Source organism: Homo sapiens, chromosome 9, assembly GCF_000001405.40.
Source record: "Homo sapiens chromosome 9, GRCh38.p14 Primary Assembly".
NCBI classification, from domain to species: domain Eukaryota; kingdom Metazoa; phylum Chordata; class Mammalia; order Primates; family Hominidae; genus Homo; species Homo sapiens.
In genome coordinates, this window is record NC_000009.12 from 91,897,943 (window position 1) to 91,920,263 (window position 22,321).

The 22,321-nt window shown below is 45.9% G+C and overlaps 1 protein-coding gene across 6 annotated transcripts in view, besides 8 other annotated features; it reads right to left on the minus strand.

Annotated features, from left to right (window-relative positions):
* ROR2 (receptor tyrosine kinase like orphan receptor 2) overlaps window positions 1-22,321 on the minus strand; it is a 227,628-nt gene that overhangs the window by 175,342 nt on the left and 29,965 nt on the right. The gene's annotated exons all lie outside the window — the stretch shown is intronic.
* Window positions 530-1,144: an enhancer, noted in NCBI's record as "H3K4me1 hESC enhancer chr9:94660754-94661368 (GRCh37/hg19 assembly coordinates)". NCBI's record gives its function as "activates a minimal SCP1, AML or CMV promoter by ChIP-STARR-seq in naive H9 embryonic stem cells {active_cell/tissue: H9 hESC(naive)}" and the evidence as "EXISTENCE:reporter gene assay evidence [ECO:0000049][PMID:30033119]".
* Window positions 530-1,758: a biological region, named in NCBI's record as "H3K4me1 hESC enhancers GRCh37_chr9:94660754-94661368 and GRCh37_chr9:94661369-94661982".
* Window positions 1,005-1,299: an enhancer, noted in NCBI's record as "tiled region #1031; HepG2 Activating non-DNase unmatched - State 20:ReprD, and K562 Activating DNase unmatched - State 1:Tss". NCBI's record gives its function as "activates a minimal TATA promoter and a strong SV40 promoter by Sharpr-MPRA in HepG2 and K562 cells {active_cell/tissue: HepG2 | K562}" and the evidence as "EXISTENCE:reporter gene assay evidence [ECO:0000049][PMID:27701403]".
* Window positions 1,145-1,758: an enhancer, noted in NCBI's record as "H3K4me1 hESC enhancer chr9:94661369-94661982 (GRCh37/hg19 assembly coordinates)". NCBI's record gives its function as "activates a minimal SCP1, AML or CMV promoter by ChIP-STARR-seq in naive H9 embryonic stem cells {active_cell/tissue: H9 hESC(naive)}" and the evidence as "EXISTENCE:reporter gene assay evidence [ECO:0000049][PMID:30033119]".
* Window positions 7,714-8,277: an enhancer, noted in NCBI's record as "H3K4me1 hESC enhancer chr9:94667938-94668501 (GRCh37/hg19 assembly coordinates)". NCBI's record gives its function as "activates a minimal SCP1, AML or CMV promoter by ChIP-STARR-seq in naive H9 embryonic stem cells {active_cell/tissue: H9 hESC(naive)}" and the evidence as "EXISTENCE:reporter gene assay evidence [ECO:0000049][PMID:30033119]".
* Window positions 7,714-8,336: a biological region, named in NCBI's record as "H3K4me1 hESC enhancer GRCh37_chr9:94667938-94668501".
* Window positions 8,227-8,336: an enhancer, noted in NCBI's record as "active region_28588". NCBI's record gives its function as "activates an Ori minimal core promoter by ATAC-STARR-seq in GM12878 lymphoblastoid cells {active_cell/tissue: GM12878}" and the evidence as "EXISTENCE:reporter gene assay evidence [ECO:0000049][PMID:35858748]".
* Window positions 10,107-10,713: an enhancer, noted in NCBI's record as "NANOG-H3K4me1 hESC enhancer chr9:94670331-94670937 (GRCh37/hg19 assembly coordinates)". NCBI's record gives its function as "activates a minimal SCP1, AML or CMV promoter by ChIP-STARR-seq in naive H9 embryonic stem cells {active_cell/tissue: H9 hESC(naive)}" and the evidence as "EXISTENCE:reporter gene assay evidence [ECO:0000049][PMID:30033119]".

A 22,321-nucleotide genomic window follows, 5' to 3' on the forward strand; every position in this document is an offset into this window, starting at 1 on the left:
AGCCACAGAAGGTGAGACTGAAGAGGAAGGGAGAAGGAGCACCAGACGGGCCACCCACAGGCTCCATCCTGACCTTGCCACGGCGGGGTCCACACACCCCGAGAACCCCTCGGGCCACACCCCTGGGCCTCTCTGACTCCCACAAGCCTGTCTACAATCACTGATCCCCTCATGGTCACCGGTTCTGGAAAGAAAGTCTCAAGTGGCTTTGCCAATTTAGTGAAGCATCCGTTATCTGGTTCCTTCTCTGCAAATGAGTCTTGTGTCCAGAGCCTTTCTAACCACTTCCATCCCAAACTTCCCTCGGAGGAAAGGTGACCTGTGGCCAACTAAGAGCCCAGAGTGACGACAGCTGTCATCTGGATAACACCATGTGGCTGGCACTGTGCTTAGTGCTGGGTGCATATCCCATGCCCCAAACCTCACAAAACCCTGTGGGGAGAGAAGTGGTGTCCCCGTTTCAGAGATGGACATTTGAGACCCAAGATACTAAATGATCTGCCCAAAAAACACACTGGAGAGCCAGGATTACAACCCCAAGACGTCCTACAGAACCCCACCCCTTTATTCATGACAACTTTATGGAGGTGTGATTTATACATGACAAAGTGTTCCCATTCAAGGGCAAGACAAACGTACAGCCAGGTGGCCAGCACAACACAGAGCCCCACTTCCCCAGGGAATGAGAACAATGAGGAAATGCTAGCAAGGAGGGCATCTGCCCAGAGATGCCCGTAAATCACCAACTCTCACAGGACTTTAAAAGGACAATCTTGTTTGCAAAGCTGAATTTAGATTACCCTTCTCCTGACTATTAGTCACAAGGCTGACTCCAGCCCCAGTGCAGAAGGAGACGCAGCACAGAGCAACACATGATGGCAGGCAGGCCCGGCTGCCTCCAGAACGGGCATGACCAGGTGCTTTCCACGCTTGGCACACAGCTGAGCAAGGCCACAGTAACTCCAGGAAACTGGAAGAAGCCTCAGACACCCGATGCCACGTGGCCTGAGCATCTTCTTGGTCTTCACTCTGATACTGTTCTGATGAAGCAACAGCAGAGGCTGCTTTCCAAACAGAGAGGGCAGCGGAAATGGCAGCCCGCTTCAGCACGTGTGTCAGGACAAACAGCCGCCAAGAGCTGCCTGAGCCCACCAGGTGGCCTCTTCCTGTTCCGCTGACTCCGGCCTGACCTCTGTCCTCCAGAAACACATGGACCGGAAAGGGCCCCCAGGGGGTGCGGGGGATGGCAGAGCAGGAGTGTATCTTGGAGAAAATGCACAGGAACTCATGAGGCAAATAGGTGGCATTATCTGCTGGGAGCCTCTGCAAAGGGCGACTGCAGACACCAGGCCACAGCTGAGGCTGGGCAGTTGTGCAAATATTTGGGGAGCAGCAGACAGAGCAGGACCCAGCACTTATACCATGTGTGGGGCCCCAGGTCAATGTCCCCTGCTTGGCCTCTTTCCTCTTCTGTCAAAGGAGACTATGGAACCCTGTGTCCCTCCTGTGTGCTGCATGTGAACACCACCCTACCAGTCCCGGTGCCTTCAGGTGCACACATGGGGTAAAGAGGTATAGGCAGATACACCTGGGGAAAAAGGTCTGCTTAAGAGCTGAGCAGCAGGAGAGCTGGGAACTGGCACTGAGCAGGTGGGCAGGAGAGAACAGAGCCTCCTCCGTCCCCAAGGAGAAAGATGGGGAGGAGGGGGCAGCTGGGACCAAGTTCCTCAGAGTTCCCCACGCTCTGCCTGACACCTCAACCCTTAGACACACACACCAGGAATCTACACACAAGCACACACATATACACTCACACACAAACGTGTGCACACAACACATGCGCCACAATCCCCACATGCACTCACACGTACGCACACGTACACATACACCAGGAAACTGGTCGCAAACACACACACACAGGTGCACTGTGCATACACACACATACACATTACATATGCAACACATCTGCACACTCGAACACATACATCCACCAGGAAACTAGGAATATGAGACCCAAGTTTATTAAAGTATAAAATCTACATTTGACCTGTGAATGCAGGCTTGATAATTTAGTAAAACATTAATCGATAAGTACCTAGAGACCAAAAGAATGCCAGCCTGGAACCCACTAGATGCACTCACCAGTAAGATAAGTTTTAAAGCCTGCAAACTGACAGACAGCAAGTCAGCAGGGCTCCAGATAAGCCTCCCTCCAGTGCTGGGCAGGCCCCCAGATAAGCTCAGGATGCAGCGGGTCCCCCAGGGCCGCCAGGGGGTGGGGGGCAGGGCCCCAGCAGCCTCGCATCCAGAGGCCCAAGCGCAGAAGCAGAAGCAAACTGGACGCCGCAAGGGGCTGCAGGAAGGGCAGACGGCAGACGCAAGTCCTCCAGCTGCCTCCCGCACAAGATGGTCAATGACAGCGGCTGAGAGGCACAGCAGGCAGCCGACCCTGGCGCAGGCCCCCCCACGCAGGGAACGGTGGCGGCGCGGGGCAATCCTCCGGCTGCCTGGAGCAAGAGAGGCTGGCAGGGACACGAGGGCGCCGGGCCTGCACGTGGGACCCGCAGGAAACAAGAAATGAGGAAGGCACCGCGTGGCATCCAGAACATTCAAAAGCAGCCAAGGAGGCGGGAAAACGACAAGCTTCTGGAAGAGAGTGCTGACAGTGAACCAGGACAGGCCCCAGGAGAGGACTCCTCGCGGGGCACGTCGGTTCCATGGACTGGGGGCAGCTGGGCCGCCAAGGCCACTCCCACCTAGAGTCAGCACTTGTCACAAAACCACAGGCTTAAAAGTCCTTCAAATTGTCAGGACCATTAGACCCACTTCACACCTCAATTCTGTGCAAACAGAGGCATAGGTTCCAGCTTGAAGGGAAAAAAATAATAAGCCAAGAATGCACATCTGTTTTTAAGAAGGAAATCCATTATTAATTAAAAAGAGCAACTAGGAAGCAAAGTTCTGGGAACTGAAACACACATCGTTTAATCAGATACTGGACTATAAATCCCTTTTCTGGGCAGATTGTTTTTTAAGCTGAAGGGTTTTTAATGTGTACTACGAGGAAGCTGCACAAGGGGCCCCTCAGCTCAGCCAGACTGAATCCAGAGCCAGGAAGGTCGGGCAGAATCCCCCTCCACTCCACCATCCTTCAACTAGAGAAAAGAACTGTCTTGTAAAACTGTGTTACTTGACAGCCCAACTATATTCTTCTGAAATGCAAACTATACTATAAATAGGTATACTATGTTACATGGTATGTATAACACATAAATTATACAGCATATTTAGTATAAGTTAGACTATCTCCAACTGTACCCATGGGAAATGCAAATCTGCATGTCAGTAGTTTGTGAATGTTTCTGATACCTGTGGGATATCATGAAACACCAATAACTAGGAGGTAGTGATAGTTTACTAGTTGCCTCAAGTATAATCAAACCAACAGTGTCCTTCCTCACTGGCTTATCTTCCCACCCACTTAGAACTAAGATCTTTGTTTTCCAACAGGAGAAAAGGCTCACGTCATTTCAAATGTGGGCTCAGTACATTATCTGCCTTCTACAGGGGGTTAAAAATAAAAGTGCTCTGGGATGGGTGTGGTGGCTCATACCTGTAATCCCAGCACTTCGGGAGGCTAAGGCAGGCGGATCATCTGAGGTGAGGAGTTTGAGACCAGCCTGACCAACATGATGAAACCCCATCTCTACTAAAAATACAAAAATTAGCCAGGCATGGTGGCATGCGCTTGTAATCCCAGCTACTCAGGAAGCTGAGGCGGGAGAACTGCTTGAACCCAGGAGGTGGAGGTTGCAGCGAGCCATGATCTCACGAATGCACTCCAGCCTGGGACTCCATCTCAAAAAAAAAAAAGAGTGCTCTGAAAAAAAAAAAAGCAAAAAATAAAAAGGAGCTTTGTTTATTTTTCCATAGCTACTGTGTGAGGAAAAGTCAGTTGTACCTTTGCCAGGTGTAGGTGGGGGGGCCTACCCTCAATTCTGGAGCAGCAGGCCAACAGAGCCAGAGGCACTTGAAAAGAGGCCATTCGCACAGAATACCTCCCTCAATTCATTCAACCAGTCCCAACATTTAATCCACACAACGGTTAACATTCCTATTTTTCAGATGCAGAAACTGGGGCTCATGGAGATGAAATATTTAGTAACTCACAAGGGCTCCCCACCACAGATGACGGCCTGATTCATCTAAGTAGTCAACAAGTAAGAGATGCATACTCACACAACAAAGAAGAGGAAGGAGAAACAATTATTTTTAAAGGTTTTCTCAATTTTCCTTTAATTCTTTCTTCATAGTAGAAATATCTCATTTCTAAACCAAAGCTCAATTTCTATCCTCAGGTATCACAAAATGAAGTAAACTTCCCCTTCGCTGTCAGGGTCTTTTCCCTTCTTTCCCTCCAGGAAACCCAAATCCCAGGCCCTCCATCACCTCTCCACCAAGCCCACCCTGCTTGTACCTCTCACAGCCAGGGCCTTCCCACGCCTCAGGCCCCTACTGAAAACAGATCTCAAAAGCAGTTCCCGATGGGGAGCTGGGTGGTCGTGGCTGTGAGCCGCCTGAGACCTCCTGAACTGCCAAGGATCTCCGTTAACACCAAGGGCCCTCCTTGGGCGACCCTGCCCCCACCCCCAACAGACACCATGGGGCCCTCCCTGAGACATCCAGCATCAGTTGGAGAGCTCAGTCTCAACTGAAGCAACAAGAAAGGGACACTGTTAAGCTCACTGTAAGAAGAAACCGCTTCATCAGCATGGAGTTAATATGTAAACATTTTATCTGCACTGGCAAAACAAATGACTATTTAAAAACCATATCCTTAGGAATGGAAATCTGACACATGCTGCAACATGGATAAGCCTCGAAGGCATGCTAAGGGAACCGGGCCAGTCACAGAAGGACATAGACTGCATGTTCCACTTCTACAAGGTCCCTAGGGTGGTCAAATGCATAGAAACAGAAGGTAGAATCGGTGGCTGCCAGGGTCTGGGGGAGGAGATGGGGGAGGCATTATTTAATGGGTGCAGAGTTTCTGTCGGGGATGATGAAATGAGTTCTGTGGATGGCGGTGATGGTTGCAAAACAATATGAATGCATTTAATGCCACCAAACAATACTTATGATGGTAAATTCCATGATATGCATATTTTACTATGATAAAGAAAAAAATACATATACTTAAACAAAAGCAAATAAAAAAAATACATGTTCTCCCCTAAAGTATGAGTGCATGGAAAATTAAAACTGCCACATCCAGAGAGCAACAGGATTTTTTTTCTGTGCCCCTGACTGCAGTCGGCCCAGGAGGAACCCAGATAGATGCTGCATGGAGGGGTCTCAGATGCCCACACCCCAACCCGCTGGCTTCCCCTGCCCAAGAAAGTCTGGGAAGGGTGATCTGCTCCAGTTCTTCCCATCGGGCATCAACTCACTTCTACAACACAAGCCCCCAAAATAAATGGAAATGAGGCTGCTGGAGTGGTCTGTGGCCCCAAGAAGTCGATTCGTTGTGTCTTTTTTTTTTCTCCTCAAGTCAAAACTTAAGCCATTCCTACATCTCCAAATTCTTCCATGGAGTATTTTCAAGGCAGACACTTCTGGAACAAACAACCCCAACCTAAATATTTTCTGTAAAGGGAAGAACAAAGATTTTCTCCTAAACCAGCCCCTAAGTCAGCAAATGGGAAGTGGTTTCCCCACATTCTCAACATCCCCAAAGGGACAACTGCCCACCCCTTCCCGGTGAGCATTCGACAACTCTGTAGACAAAGAGGAACAAAAACAAACGCAATTGGCTTGAGACGGGGTTTACTAGGAGCTCATAAAAATACCTCAGACTGGGGTCGTGGAGAGAGTCCACGGCAATAAAATGCCCATACTTATTTTACGTATTTAAAGGGATATTGCTGCATTCTCAAAACAATATCCATTTAATTTCCAAAAATACAGTCAGTGAACAGCTGAAATATTTTTAAAGGAGAGTGGTTTTAGATATTCAAAGAAACATGTGAACCATCCCACAAGGTAGGAATCACTGCCCTGACAGGTCATCCTTTTTTTTGATTTTTTGTTTTTGTTTTTGTTTTTTTTTGGGGGGGGGGACAGAGTCTCGCTCTGCCGCATAGGCTGGAGTACAGTGGTAGGATCTCGGCTCACTGCAACCTCCACCTCCCAGGTTCAGGCAATTCTCCTGCCTCAGCCTCCCGAGTAGCTGGGATTACAGGCATGCACCACCACACCCGGGCCCAGGTCATCCTTTTTTAACCACAAAGCCAGATTTGGCACCAGGGATCATGGAAGGATCCCGGGGTGAGGAGGTTCCTCAGATCAGAAACTCAGAGCTCCCTGCCTCCATTGTGCCTTGTTCACCTGACCTGAGGATGCCACAAGTTTAGCGGGTGGAGCCCACTGCCCTCCTAGCACCAAGAGCCCAAGAATGTTCCAGTCAGGCGGGCTCAGTCCATAAAGGGCTGGAAGGCCCAAGGGCTGGGGTAGGGAGCGGTAGGACCTGCGCCACGACCAACAGGCCATCGCCCTGGAGAAAAGCCATCCAGTCACAGCCTGGAGAGACCAGGCAGAGGGTGGCCCAGCCTTGTGGAGCAAGGAAGTGGAATCAGGCTTCAGGCCCATGGTGGGGGTGCCTTGGCGCTTGGAGCAGCCACCAACACTATAGGAGGGCACCCAGTGGCAGGCAGCAAGACACACAGGATGTCCCTTCCAGGCTGTAAAGATCCCATCTCCACCCCAGCGCCCTGGCTCCTACGCTCCACTGCTGGCTTTGGAGGCCTCCTCGACTCTGCCACCCGTGGCCTCAGGAACCTCTGGTTCCAAGTTAATGAGGCAAAGCCTCCAAAAAGGGAAAAAACAAACTGCTCATCACTCATTATTGCCTCCATTCTGGCTTACTACCTGGGACGGCTCCAAGGTGCACAGCTGCAGAACACACGTGTGCGCACACACACCACACACACAGCACATACACCACACACAAGACATACACAAATGTCACATGCCACACAACATACAATACACACAACACATACCACACAACATATACCACACACAAAAACGTAACATATACGCAAACATCACACCACACAGACATACAACATATACCACACACAGCACATACACAAAACTCATACACCACAAACCACATATCACACACACACCCCCCACACAAATATCACACATGCAAGACACACCACACAACACATACCATACACAACACATACACAAACACCACATATACACCAAACACCACTCAACACAAACACCACATACAACACATACACAAACATCACACACCACACAAATTCAGCACACACAATACCACACACCAGACACACCACACACATACAATCATACCACACAACACATACACAACCATCACACACCATACACACAAGACACACAACACATACCACACACACAGAGAGACAAAAACTATACAAATGTCACATCACACAAAGATGACAACACAACCCAACACACAACACATACCACACACAACAAAGACACAACACATACCACATACACGACATACACAGACATCACACACTACACACAACCCAACATACACAGACACAATACAACACATACACAAACATACAACACATACACAAACATCACACATGCCACACACAACACATATACAGATGCCCCCAACACACATAAACACACATAACACACACGTACACCACACATACACTCCAAAATCTGTTTTTCTTTTTAGAAGACCACAAACCCCACTACATGGTAGATAAATGGGGGTGGGGGGAGGGGCCATCACACTCTTTAGGGAGAGAAAATAGAAATTAAAGCAAATTTGAAAGCCCAAGAACTAAGAGAGGGAGCCAATCAACTTTTTTTTTTTAAGAGCTAAGAGCAGAGCCTCTCCTGGGGAATTCTTGATCCCAGTGGAAGATTACATATTAAAGAAAATGCAGAAAATTACAGACTACATTTATGTGCAACCCTGAATTGGTGGTTTTAAGAAACTATTATTAATGAAGAAGCAAAAACACCCCTTAAAGAGAATTCTTTGAAAAAAAAAAACCACACACACACACAGAGTAATAATTGCTGAGCAGGCATAATAAAGTTAAACTCAGAGGGTTTTTAAACCACACCAAAACCCTGAGAGGCGTCAGCGTCCCTGAAGCTCCCGTGGCCAGGCTGTGACCACAACTCCGCCTGCAGAAGGAGGTGGCAGGGCTGAGGGGGAGAGCAGCGTGCACTCGCAGCAGCCATGCAGGTCACCCAGAGGGGCTGCACGACAGAGCAGGACTGGACAATTCTGTGCCCAGTAGGATACCTGGAATGACAAACTGCCCGTTCATAAGGAAAATTCTACCCTGACCCACAGAACAAGATCTCTGCATGGCAGCCTCTGAGGAAAGTCTGCGCATTTGAGGAAAACGAAACCTTAAAGGGTGGCTCTGCCGTCTCAGCTCCCAGGAAACCCACAGCACCCTTCTTAGTGGCACATGGTCACAGGCTGCCACAAGTCCACTGCAGGTAGAGTCTTAGCTCCCGCCAAGGGTCTTCTGCAAGCAGAGAATGCCCCTCAATTCTCTGACCTTCCAAGAGCCACCTCCACCATTCATTTCCCCTTCATTCATGGAATTCAAGAAAATCCCCTCGGTTTTGTTCTTTCGTTGTTGTTATTTTCTTAAGTCATGGTCAATGACCGTTGCATTATTAAGGGGATTTCATCTATCCTTTTTGGTCTTTATTTTCTATTAATCTTTTTCATTATATTTTAGAAACGTTTTGGTTTGCAGTAGCTGGAGGGAGAACCTGCTACATAGTTCTGCACCACGGACAGTCTGAGAAGCACCAAGGACTTCCAAGGTCCAGGCTCCAGCTTTAGAGCGCCTAGAACTCAGTGGATTCAGGTTTTCAGGCTTTTATATTTTTCTAATTGTGGTAAACAGTATACCATAAAAGTTGCCATCTTCGCCACTTTTAAGTGGACGGTTTGGTGGCGGTGGGAACATTCACTGTGTTGTGCAGGATCACCACTCTCCACCCCCAGCACACTTTACATCTTGCAAAATTGAAACTCTGTCCCCATTAAGCACTAACTCCCCATTGGATTTCATCTATCTTTTTTTTTAATTGAGGGAGACAAATTGGCAGGGGGCTGTCTCACAGCAGCGTATGAAATCCGTTAAAATAAGAAATCTGCATAATTGTCTTAAGTGATAAACAGGAAGCCATTTGTTCCAGGTGAAAAGCCCCTTCTTTACATTCTCAATGGCTCTGCATATAATTTTTCCCCCTGTACAATGGCATGCAGCCCCCAGACTCCTCCTCACATTAACAGGCAGGACAGTGCTGATGACCTGGGAGGCAACACACATGGGAATGTCCTTCCCAAACCAAATGGACACAGCTGTGTCCAAAATCCACCAGCAAAAGGAAATGAAGCACTGCCTCTCCTGAGTTCCTGGGGCAAGGGGATCTGGGTGACTGCCTTGCCCAATTTCTTTTTAGGATATCAGCACGTTAAACCCTAAGTTTCTTTCGTTATCACTGAAGTGGGATTCTGCACAGTGAAAAAAGGTGATATTTTTAAAAGGGGGATCAAAATTGAGTCAATTAAGTCATCTTTCTGAGAAAGCCACACCCTGAGCAGCTACAGGAAGGGCCTCCTCTGCTGGGAAACCTGGCGCTTCCCACTCACTGCAATGTCTACAAAGGGGGCTGGCTTCCCAAATTCCTGAGATCTATCCTCCAAAATCCATTCCTTAAACAGAAGGCATATTATCAGGATACCTCATACTTAACAGGAGCATTTCTCTTCCCAGTGGACCCAAGAATGCAGTAAATTGAGTCATGAGCTTCCTGCCTCACAAGGTCTTCAGGTTACCCAGCTGCAGCGTGGATCGGATGCTGCCCCACCCCAGGTCAGCTTGGCCACCCCACACCCAGGGCCACCCTACATGACTGCCTCCAGGTGGGCACAGGGCAAGGGGCCAGAATAAAGGGAAAGGTGACTATCTGGTCTTCAGGGAAACATCCAGGACTTGTGATGACACTAATTGTTGTGGGAAAGAACTTCCTTTGGGAACTGCAAATGCCGCAAAACCCTATGACAAAAAGTTGGATAAGATAGAGAGTGGAATCCAAACTGAGTCTGGAGGCACAGGTGACACAGCTGTATTATCAATGGGGGGAGGGAGGAGTTGAAAGCAACTCCCTGGTTTCCATCTTGGTCACATGGTGAGTGGTGGGGACGCTATCTATGCCAGGAAGGGCTCCAAGGGAGACAATGGGACACGTTTGTATTTAAAGCTGTGCCTGGGGCACCCGCAGCACATCCAGCTTGAGATGTTTTAGTAGCAACTGACAGAAAACATCAATCAGAACATCTCCTGACCATGCAACTCAGAAGGCCTTTTAAAATGTAATAGTAAAAACATAACGTTTTAATGACTTTTTAACAAGCAGGCTTAGTATCAGTTATCTTAACAAACACCCATCTAGCACTTTCTGCAAGTCAAGTGCTGGCTCTAAGGACCTTATAACCATTAACTCATTTAATCCCCAAAACAACAACCCCAGGAGGTAGATAGGGACCAGGTACTTACACTATAGGAGGGGATGTTTACATAAAATCAAGGAATACGCCATTACCAGTGGGAAATAAACAATATCAGTCTCAAAGAAATAAGTTTAAAATAAATTCAGCATCCCTCTACTGGTAATTCAAAATTGATACTAATAACAAATAAAATTAATAACATATTTAAAAGATTACCCAAAATGAGCTCCACTGAGATTTTAAACATTCAGTAGAGCCAAAGGAAACAGCACTAAGATTTCAAGCGGAGGGTGCCAATTAAGAAAAGTGACTCAAATTCCTTAAAATGTAAACACCTTATATTTTCATTATGAAAACCCATAAAACTGACACTTTGAACAGTTAAAAACTCCACTGACCATGAGGGAGTTTCCCTTCCATCACCCCAAATTAGTACATCCTGGAAGATCCAGCTGTTGTCAGTATCGAGCCAACAGAGGAATTTAAGAAGAAACCACAATGACCCCAAACCTCTTTAATTTGCAAAGCACCGGAGTCCACAGGGCCTAACGCAACATGCTGCTTTGCCAGAAACAACCTATATAATTTCTTTCTGATGAGAAAATGAAAATTGCTTGCTAATTGCTTCTCCTTTTCCATTTCCATTGCTCTGTCTGGGATCTCATAGCATGGGTGCATTTCCTCACCCAGGGTAACAAGAGTCAAATGTGTGCATCTCAGGAGTGGGGTGCATGATGCACACCCCCTCTGCATCCTCTTCTTATTGGAAAGAGGAGCTTTTTTATCTGTCATCACTGATTGGAAAACCAGGAATGAAGACCAAACCTGCCTCTCCTCTCAGGCTCCCATGGTTTGGTTTGATTTTGGAGTCAGGGTCTCACTGTGTTGCCAAGGCTGGAGTGTAGTGGCCTACAGCCTCAACCTCCTGGGCTCAAGCAATCCTCCTGACTCATCCTCCCGAGTAGCTGGCACCACAGGCATGCATCACCACATCCAACTAATTTTTTTTTTTTTTTTTTGGTAGAGACGGGGTCTCACCATGTTGCCCAGGCTGCTCTCAAACTCCTGGCCTCAAGTAATCCTCCCACCTCAGCCTCCCACAGTGCTGGGATTACAGGCATGAGCCACCACACTCGGCCCCAGGCTCCTATGTTTAACTGTATGAAGGATCTGGTTTTTCCTCCTGTTCCATCTATGGGTTTTAATATCTTGGAAAGCTTTATGTCTTTCTAAAGTAAAGACATACTGGACATACTGTGCTTTTTCTTCAAATCATTAGCTATTTTATAAGCATTCTGATAATCTTTATTCTTTTTTTTTTTTAGGTTTGTTTTGTTTTTTTTTTTTTTTTTTTTTTTTAGTTTTTTTCAATCAGAGTCTTGCTCTGTGGCCCAGGCTGAAGTGCAGTGGCGCAATCCAGCTCACTATAACCTCCGCCTCCCGGGTTCAAGTGATTCTCCTGCCTCAGCCTCCCAAGTAGCTGGGACTACAGGCGCCCACCACCACACTGAGCTAATTTTTGTATTTTTAGTAGAGATGGGGTTTTGCCATATTGGCCAGGCTGGTCTCAAACTCCTGACCTTGTGATCCGCCCACCTCAGCCTCCCAAAGTGCTGGGATTACAGGCGTGAGCAACCATGCCCAGCCAATCTTTACTTTTAACCTGTCAATTTAGCAGAAAAGAAACTTAAATGTCAGTGCCCAGTGCTGGCACTGGTGATGTGAAATAGGCAATTCCAGACATTTCAGACTGGAGATTGAATTGATGACTGTGTGCTGAAGGCAATCTGGCCAGACTTATCAAACAACTCCAAAATATCTGGGCTTATTACTACTATTACTAGTATCTCCACCCCCAAATATCTTTGAGACTTACTAATTTTACATATGGGAATCTATGCTTAAATAATGACTTTGAGATATGACATCAAAAACATAGGCAACAGAAACAAAAACAGACAAACTGGACTACATCAAACTTAAAAACATCTATCCATCAAAGCAAACAACCAACAGAGTGAAAACACAACCAAGGCAATGAAAGAAAATATTTGCAAATCATACATCTAATAACAGGTTAATATCCAAACTACATAAAGAGAAGCATCATATTCAAAGAAAATTGGTTTTCATTAAATACATAAAATATGTAATACTTTTTTTTTTTTGGAGACAGTGTCTCACTCTGTTGCCCAGGCTAGAGTACAGTGGCCTGATTTCAGCTCACTGCAACCTCCACCTTCCAGGTTCAAGAGATTCTCCTGCCTCAGCCTCCTAAGTAGCTGAGATTAGAGGCGTGTACCACCATGCCCAGCTAATTTTTGTATTTTTAGTAGAGACGGGGTTTCACCTTGTTGGCCAAGCTGGTCTCTAACTCCTGACCTCATATGATCTGCCCTCCTCAGCCTCCCAAAGTGCTGGGATTACAGGCGTTAGCCACCGCGCCCAGCCAACTATGTAATACTTTTAATAATATAGAATGATGGAAACAACTTAGAACAATAGAAAATGCTTCAGAACACTATTAGTCATTCACTACAAATGATGCTTCCAAACAATACCTGGGACAAAGGAAGGGATCTGGCCGTTGCCAGGCCCATTTCCACATCTGCACACTACCCCACCACCTGTTCCTTTGAAAATATACAAAATGCAGTGTTCTACACACAGGCTCTTTTTGAAAACAATGCACCAGAACAAACTATAGTCATGTGTCCCCTAAGGACAGGGATACATTCTGAGAAATGCGTCTTCAGGCCATTCTGTTGCCATGCGTGCATCAGAGTATACAATACTCACACAGACCTGGATGGTACAGCTTACTACACACCTGCACTAACCCTGTACAGCATGTGACTGTACTGAATACTGTAGGCATTGCAACACTGTGTATCTGTGTATCTAAACATCTAACACAGAAAAGTGCAGTTAAAATATGATATAATCGTATGAGACCACCATTGTATATGTGGTCTGCTGTTGACCGAAACATTACGTGGCGCATTACCATACTTTTAAAATAAGCTTCAATAAATAATTCAATAAATAGATAGGGAAGTAGGGACCAAAGAATTCCAATTAGTAAATGCAGAAGAGATGGTGAAATACAAAGCCACACTAGACAAAAGCTGAAATCATTATTACTGCAAGCAAAAACTACAGATGGAGGCTAGAATTAGTGGAGGAGAACATGATGAGAAACAGTATACTCACACTCAAAGTATCTTCTGGCAAGATACATACTAGTTAAGACAGGAAAAACAGCAGCTTTAAGGTGGAGAAATCTGGCAGATAGCTCCTTAACCCAGTGATCAAAGTAAACATCCCCAGAAAAGGAACAGAGAAATTCACGTGCTTCCTGCTACAACACAACATTGTATCTGCTGTCTTCCTGCCCAGTGTCCATTACCTGAGTCTAAGCAAAAAAAAAAAAAAAAAAAAACCACAAACCCAAATTAAAGGACATTCAACAAAATTTATCGGAGGTACTCCTCCAAAGTGTCAAGGTCAGGAAAACAAGGCAATACTGAGGAACTGTCACAAACTAGAAACAAATTAGAAAAACAGGTGAACTAAATGCAATGTGGGATCCTGGATCACACAAAACAGACATTAGTGAGAAAACTGCTAATTAGAGATTCAAACAAGGTCTGTGGCTTCCTTAATAGTATCACTAGTATACCAATATTAACTTTCTAGTTTTCATAAAATGTATCAATTGACTTAAGAGATTAACATTAAGGGAAGCCGAGTTAAAGGGAATATGGAACAGTTTTTGCAACCTTTCTGTACGCCTAAAATTTCCTACTTATTAGTACAGTAGCAAAATTACAGTTAATTTATTATGAATTCCAAAATGGCTAGAATTGTAATGTTTCCCACAAAAAGAAGTGTTTGAGGTAATGGATATTGCAATTACCTTGACTTGATCATCGCACATTGTGTATACAGATATCAAAATACCGTATGTGCTCCCAAAATATATACTACTATGTATCAATAAAAATATATTAAAAATAAAATTATTTCAAAATTAAAAGTATGCTTCTGTGTATTCTTCTGCCAGGATGTGCTTTCTTCCAAAGTCAAAGCAAAAATCTCCATATTTAAAAGAATGTGAAGCTTAAGTGTTTTGGGAAAAAAATTAACAAACATGTAACAGGAAAAATCTGGAATATTTCTGATTTATCAGCTATAACTATTCCTTAAATAATTTTTAAATGTAATATTTTAATATTGTTTCCCTTAAGTATTCAAGTTAATAGAATAATTTCATTTTTAGCTAATCTTAAGACCATAAAAATGGATAGGAATACTTACAAAATAGGCCAGCAGGCCAGGCGTGTTGGCTCACGCCTGTAATCCCAGCACTTTGGGAGGCCGAGGCGGGAGGATTACCTGGGGTCAGGAGTTCAAGACCAGCCTGCCCAACATGGCGAAACCCTGTCTCTACTAAAAATACAAAAAGTAGCTGGGCGTGGTGGCACATACCTGTAATCCCAGCTACTTGGGAGGCTGAGGCAGGAGAATCGCTTGAACCCGGGAAGCAGAGGTTGCAGTGAGTCGAGATCACGCCACTGCACTCCAGCCTGAGCAACAGAGTGAGAGACTCCATCTAAACAAGAAACAAACAAACAAAAAACAAAACAAAAAAAGGCCAGCAGAGAGTATACAATGGTACTCTTTTTAAAAGAAAAATCGACTATAGTTACTAAAATTGAAAATAACTACAAAAACAGGTCAGACAGCAGTATCTGATACAAAGCCTTCAAATGCACCACTAACAGTGATTCACAGTAGATACCGGTTGAGCAGATTTTTATTCTTTGGAATGAATCACACTTTCAGTCTTTCCAAAATTTGATTTTTTTTCTCTCTTTGTTCCAGAGAAGAGACAAAAAGATTCTTGCTTTGCTAATAAATGAAAACAACAAAAAATTCTATGTTGTATCAGCTGAGATAAGAACTTGCCAATTTTTCTGGAGACTCAAACCCAAAACTGCCCAGGTAGAAGACAGAATTACCAACAGCTGCCCCTGGATCCACCGTTAATAAAAACTTTGACATCAACTGGGACAAACCCAGGTACCCATAGTTGGCATGGGAAGGGACTACTTCAACCTCTAATGGATTTACTCTCTAAACTACTCCCCAAATCCTCCTCTGTTCCGGCCAGTCTGTACTTTCACCAATCTTGACAGTTTAAAAAATCTGATTTTCAAAAAGCTTTCACATACGAGGTATCTACAGCAATCAAATGCATACAGAAAGTAGAGGGGTGGTTTCCAGGGCCTGGGGGAAGGGAAAAGTGGGGAGTTGTGTTTAATGGGGACAGAGTCTCAGTTTCCCAACATGAAAAGTTCGGGAGATGGATGGTTGTGATGGCTGTCCAACACTGTACTTAATGCCACCCAGTGTACACACTGAAAAATGGCCCCTTGGTCAATTGCATGAATATTAACTTTTTTAATGTTAAAAAAGACTTTTACAAAATAAGATGGTAAAGTCTCTCTGGAGAGTTTCCAGCCAGAAACTCTTGCCAACCAAAAAAAAATCTCATGCTGTTATTCCCCAAGTCTGACCACCGCTGCCAAGTGCCAATGCCCCCGTGTGCTTGCTGGGCCACGCTCCACTGTCTGGCCACCTTATACTGTGTGTAAGCTAAGAACTCAAGTACAAAGGCGCTTCCCTTCGAGCCACGGGGCCATCCTATCACTTGGTTGATAGCTTATTCCCAGCCAAGCATAACGTGGCCATATTTCAAATGTGCAGAGTTTAAACCTCCAGGAGGCCTCAATTTAGTTCAGAAAATCGAACACTAGAATGAAACTAAATTCCCAAGAGATACCCTGTACTACAACTTCCTTCATTTCTAGCAGTGAGGATATTTTGGGCTGTATTATGAAAGAAAACTCTTGACCATAAAGGAATCTTCCCTTAACAAGAGAGCTGCGGGGAGGTGGTTCATGACGTCACCGAGGTCCAGGTTCTCTTTCCCTCCCATTGGGGTTGTGAATGAGCTTTCCATCCTCCTGCCGGTCACCTTGTGGGCACAGTGGCCGCTCCAGGGATCACACCAGCTACTGACTAAACAGTACGGCGGGGCAGGGGAGAGGCTTTTCCCCAAAACTCCTCTGCCTGGAAAGGAAGCCCCGCCCCCCTTACATCTCATTGGTCAGAACCAGGACCTGCAGTCACAGACAACCAATCACTGACAAAGGCAACCGTGATTGCCACGGCAGGTGTAGATCTGTCATGACTAGGGGTCACCTGGCCCCTTCCTGCTCCTGAGCACCTGAACAGGAGCACAAAGGAGGTCCACAGGGCAAACTTACACAGGGCCTGGCCTTCCAGCTGCTTTCCTAAATTCTGGATTAAACGTCACCAGTCCACTCAGCATCACCATTGAAGAGTACATTTATCATCTTTCATATGGGTAGGTGGGTCCATCACCCCTGTCAGAATATTTCCATCCCTCTGATGTAGTATCTGGAATCATCACTGCTTCTAGGATCAGGAACTAGCCATTTGAACAAAGGGATCATCATCCCGAGAACAGCAGGGGCGGCTCCGTACCTCACCCTGCTACCTGGCGTTTATGGTTGCTGAAGTCTCAACCCAAGCTCAGCAGCTGGTCGGAGTTGTCATCCCCAACATGAGGACTCTTAGGTGCAGCGGCCTCCACCTGGCACAGGACCGTGAAGGGAACTGAGGACTGTGACTACCACACGCGGCTCCCATAGACACCAACAGCAGCCCCCTTTTAACTGGAATCATCTTCTCTGGCACCCCTGGGGAAGAGGTTGGTGCATTTCCATCTCCCAATGGGGAAAGTGTGTCCGGAGTTTTGTTCCTTCCGGTAGGTTCACAGTCTCCCTGACTTCAAGAATGAAGCTGCGGACCTTCACAGTGAGTGTTAACAGCTCTTAAAGGTGGTGTGTCTGGAGTTTTTCTTCCGGTGGGTTCGTGGTCTTCCTGACTTTAAGAATGAAGCAGTGAGTGTTACAGCTTTCAAAGGTGGCACTGGACCCAAAGAGTGAGCAGCAGCAAGATTTATTGTGAAGAGCGAAAGAACAAAGATTCCACAGCCATGGAAGGGAACCTGAGCAGGTTGCTGCTGCTGTCTTGGGGGAGGTGGGGGGCGGGGGGAGGTGGCCAGCTTTTATTCCCTTATTTGTCCCCTCCCACATCCTGCTGATTGGTCCATTTTACAAACCTCTAGCTAACCACAGAGTGCTGATTGGTATGTTTTTACTGAGCAGTCATTGGCACATTTTACAAACCTCTAGCTAGACGCAGAGCGCTAATTGGTGCTTTTTACAATCCTAGATACAGAATGCTGATTAGTGCATTTTACAATCCTCCTATAAAACGAAAAAGTTCTCCAAGTCCTCACCCCGCCCAGAAATCCAGCTGGCTTCACCTCTCAAAATGAGGGGCAGGCGAGGCAAAGACCAAGTTCCTGGCTTAGGCTCTGGCAGGATCTAGAATTGAGTGTTGCACAATTCTAACACCTCCATCCTAATTGTGTTATAGCATCTGTCAGCAGAGGCCCTGGGATGTATGTGAAGTCACATCTTGGCTGTAACTCATTCCACGCAGGAAAGCAACAAGGAAGAAGGGAGGGAAGGGTGATTCTGCTCCTAGCAGCCAAAGTTGTCTTGATCTAATCACGGAAATTTGTTTCCCCCGCAACTAATCTTTTTGGCACCTTTTGTGTTCTTGCTAGGAGCCAAAATCCCTGGAATGGAATTAGAAATTCTAAGTCATGGATAATCTTACGTGGATTCCAAATCCTGTTAGCTTATTTTGTTCAGGTGATGCTCCCCTGACTTTATATTGGTTAATTCTTTAATCTCGCCAAGCATTTTGCCTATGCAATGCCCCACCTGTCGCAGCCAGGCCAGCCCTGATGCACTCCCTGCAGGGAGTCCTGAGGGAAACCCTGGGCTCCCACCCTGCCCCTCACCTTTACCCACAGAACTCCCTCTTCCCCACCTGGCAACTTCCCCTGGACTTCAAAGATCCTCCTCAAATTAAGATAATTCTTAAGTGGAAAGAATTCCAAATATTAGCCAGCCACTCCCATCTGGTTCCATTATGTACGGTTTTTTCCTTATGGTAATTCAGACTGCTAGCAAAGCATCTAAGTGGATGCCAATGTGTTTGGGACCCTTTTCCAGGTCCTGACACTGGGATTTCATATATGGACTTTTTTCCTGGTAATTTAAGAAAAAAATCTTGGAATCGCTCTTAGAATCTGAAGCCTTATCATACAAAAATACTTAACTACCATTTTCTCCCAAGAAACTGGCAAAGGAGGAAGAAAGGTGAAGTCGGCCACCAACATGGTAGAAAGATTCTCTCAAGAGCTTTCAAAGAAGAGGCTTCACTAGATGGTCGAGGTTGTCCCATGCTGGAGTGGAAAATGTTCCCTGCCCCCACAGACGCTCTGCTTTTCCTTGCTTATTCTTTAGTTTTACTCCTTCCCAGCAGCTCCAAAATTAATTCCCCGTGTTTATTCACGTGTTGCTTATATGTTTTCCATCACCAACCATTTCGTTGAAGTTCATTAATTTCCTCCTGACCCCACTGCACTCTTCCCACTCCCTTAAACAATTTAAGAGCAATGCTTCAGCTCAACCATTTTTGGTCTGGCATGAATTTCAAATTCCCTCTTCAAACAGACTCTCTGTTCTATTTTTTGTGCTGTCATTTACCCCCTTACGCTGGGTCTGTAGGTTTCTTAGTTCTAAACACTTTGGCCAATACCATCTAAAAATCAACATAGGAAAAATAATCTCAAACCCAGACACGTGCGAGAAGAAGATACGTGCAGAGAAACAACGCCAAGAAAGAGACTGGAGTTCATGGGGAAGTACGATCCATGTCACAAAAAAGGACCCAGACTGGAGGTGTGGACGCTGACACATTATGCAGAGGGCAGGGAAGCTCGTGTGTCCTCACTGAGAGGGCACCCCTGGGCCACACCCCGAATCTTTAAGAGCATCATCTGTGCTGAAAAGGAAATGTGCTAGAAACCCTGGAAAGCATGCCCAGGAAGACCTGGGCACCCAACGTTGGCCAACCCTCCCCACAGCGGGCACAGATCCCACTTCTGCAGGCTGAGCACAGCAACGGTGCTCCCCACATTGGGCAAAACCAGCGTACCTGGTGTAGAGCTGCATAGGGGAGAGAGATGCGTGGGTGCACACTGGGGTTGGGGTGCTCAGGAGAGCATCTGGACAAGTGAGCAAAGCCAGACAGGCCAGCAGGGCACTCCTACTGGAGGCCACAGTGCAGGGCATCCTTCTGCCTCCATCCAAGCTCACCCAATGACACCTGGACACTGCACAGAGCTGGATAGTGAGGCAGCTTTATAAGTAGAAAGCTCATTCTTGTATCAAACTGAAATTGGTGTCCCAGTAACCTCCACCCAGTGATCCTAACTGTTCCCATTAGAAGCTGAAGGGCACAGGCCGGGCGCGGTGGCTCACACCTGTAATCCCAGCACTTTGGGAGGCCGAGACAGGCGGATCACGAGGTCAGGAGATCGAGACCATCCTGGCTAACAAGGTGAAACCCCGTCTCTACTAAATATAAAAATCAGCTGTGCGTGGTGGCAGGCGCCTGTAGTCCCAGCTACTTGGGAGGCTGAGGCAGGAGAATGGTGTGAATCCGGGAGGCGGAGCTTGCAGTGAGCTGAGATTGCGCCACCGCACTCCAGCCTGGGCGACAGGAGACTCGTCTCAAAAAAAAAAAAAAAAGAAGTTGTTGAAGGGCACAGGGCCAGAGGTCAAGTTCTCCCACTTAACAGACTTGCAAAGATCTGAAGCCACCCCAACCCTAGGCTCCCTATAAAGTCCCTTAACTGTTCTCAGCACATGTGGTTCCCTAACCCTAAATACTTTCCGACAGTTTAAAAGAAGGTGGAGGAAAAATCTCATGCTAGCTTTCAGAGGAGGGCTTTTAAGACAAGTGTTTGACAGTAGGTAAATTAGGTTTGAACATAGGAAACTGCCATTTTTGTAGGTTGAAACGGGCTTAAAGAGAGGCAGTCTCCTATGACACAATGTAATATGTTGTCAAAACAGAAGCAAGTGATAAAAATTTTCTGCAATTCCATAGTAGTGATGGTTATACGATTCTGTGAATATCTTAAAAACTGGTGAATTGTACGCTCCGAAAAGCTGAATTGTATTGGCTTGTGGATTCTATCTCTTAATTTTAAGAATTCTGTTGTTAAAATAAAAGGGACAGGAAGAGCCTACAAATGTCCTGTGCACATAACTGGTGGTCAACTCTAAAAGGCTGGCTTACATGTAGCAAAAGCTCCTTTCATTACAGATGACTGAAGTTGAAAAAGCAAAATAAGGCAAAATTCAGCAATAAGCCCACACGTACACAGCCCCCCAACCCCTGTCCTTGTCATGCCCACAGACTGAGTGTCCCTCTCTGAGGTCTTCCCCGCCCCTCTCTGCAGTCCGCACCCCTGTGACCTCATTTCCAGACCACTCCACTCAACACAGCCAGACTGCCTAGGATTTTATTTGCATCATGTTTTAACACATATAGTCCAGCTTCCCAGGTAGATTAGAAATCTTTAAGGACAAATACTACATGATAAATATACTACTTCCTCATACTGCCAGGATAACAATATTGGCTTTTAAATGGGCACTTAATAAACATTCGTAATTGCTACTGACAATAATTAGGGCTTTTAGGCACGATCCCCTTGCTTTTAAACAGTTGATGCTCAGGCAACCAGAATTCCTGAGCTCAAACGTAAAATATGGTATGCCTTGGATCTCTACAAGACTCTGCTTTCTTGACTGTTCTTTCTTTAAATACCAAATTCATTCAGGATAAATTCACATCAAAGCAAAGGCCAACTCGTGTAATAACAACGGTTCAGGAGAACCCACAAATTCCTCGCTGTCTCCGAGCACTGGACCATCTGAATCCAACGGAAACACCAGGTTTACAACCTGCCCACCATGAATCCTACACCTCAACCTCACTTTCAGTATTAACATTCTTCAAAATTCTCAGAGGATCATTCAGCCTCATTTAGGTTTTTTTTTCTTTCTTACCAAATGTGTACCAGGGTTCCTATGACACCCATTCAGCTCTAAGTCTCCTGGAAAACCTGCCCTTCTGGTGGTTGATGATATAAAGTCTACTGGCAGCTGCTTCCCCCAGCCCACTCTGCTCCTTCATCCTGCAGGGTGGGGGCCGGAGTGGGGAGGGTTTCACCCAGCCTGGCCGATCTCACACTTTTCCTCCTGTACCCTTCCTGGGAAGGTTTCCCAGCCCACCTTCATGGAGGTGTCAACCACTGGGGTGGACTCGGAGGAGAGTAGAACCAACAACCGGTACCAGCATTTACTGAACCTGAACTTTCAGAAATATTTTGAACAGTTTAGAAGGGAATATTTGGAGCAGCACCCACCGCCATCCCACACCTGCCCCACCAGGCTCCCTTGACCCCCTCAGAAGCCAGCACATAAATCCCACTCAACTCCCAATATCAACAGGCCATTTGTGAAACAAAGTTTGAGGAGATATTATTCCTTCTCTTTTGAGTAACATAAAAAATTATAAAAGAATCAAAACCTCAATGAATTCCATGTTCATTAAAGGAAAAAATTTAAAAAGCATTTTTACTTTAACTTTAAGCCCTTACTTGTGCTTAAGAATAAACACGATGGCCGGGCGTAGTGGCTCATGCCTATAATCCCAGCACTT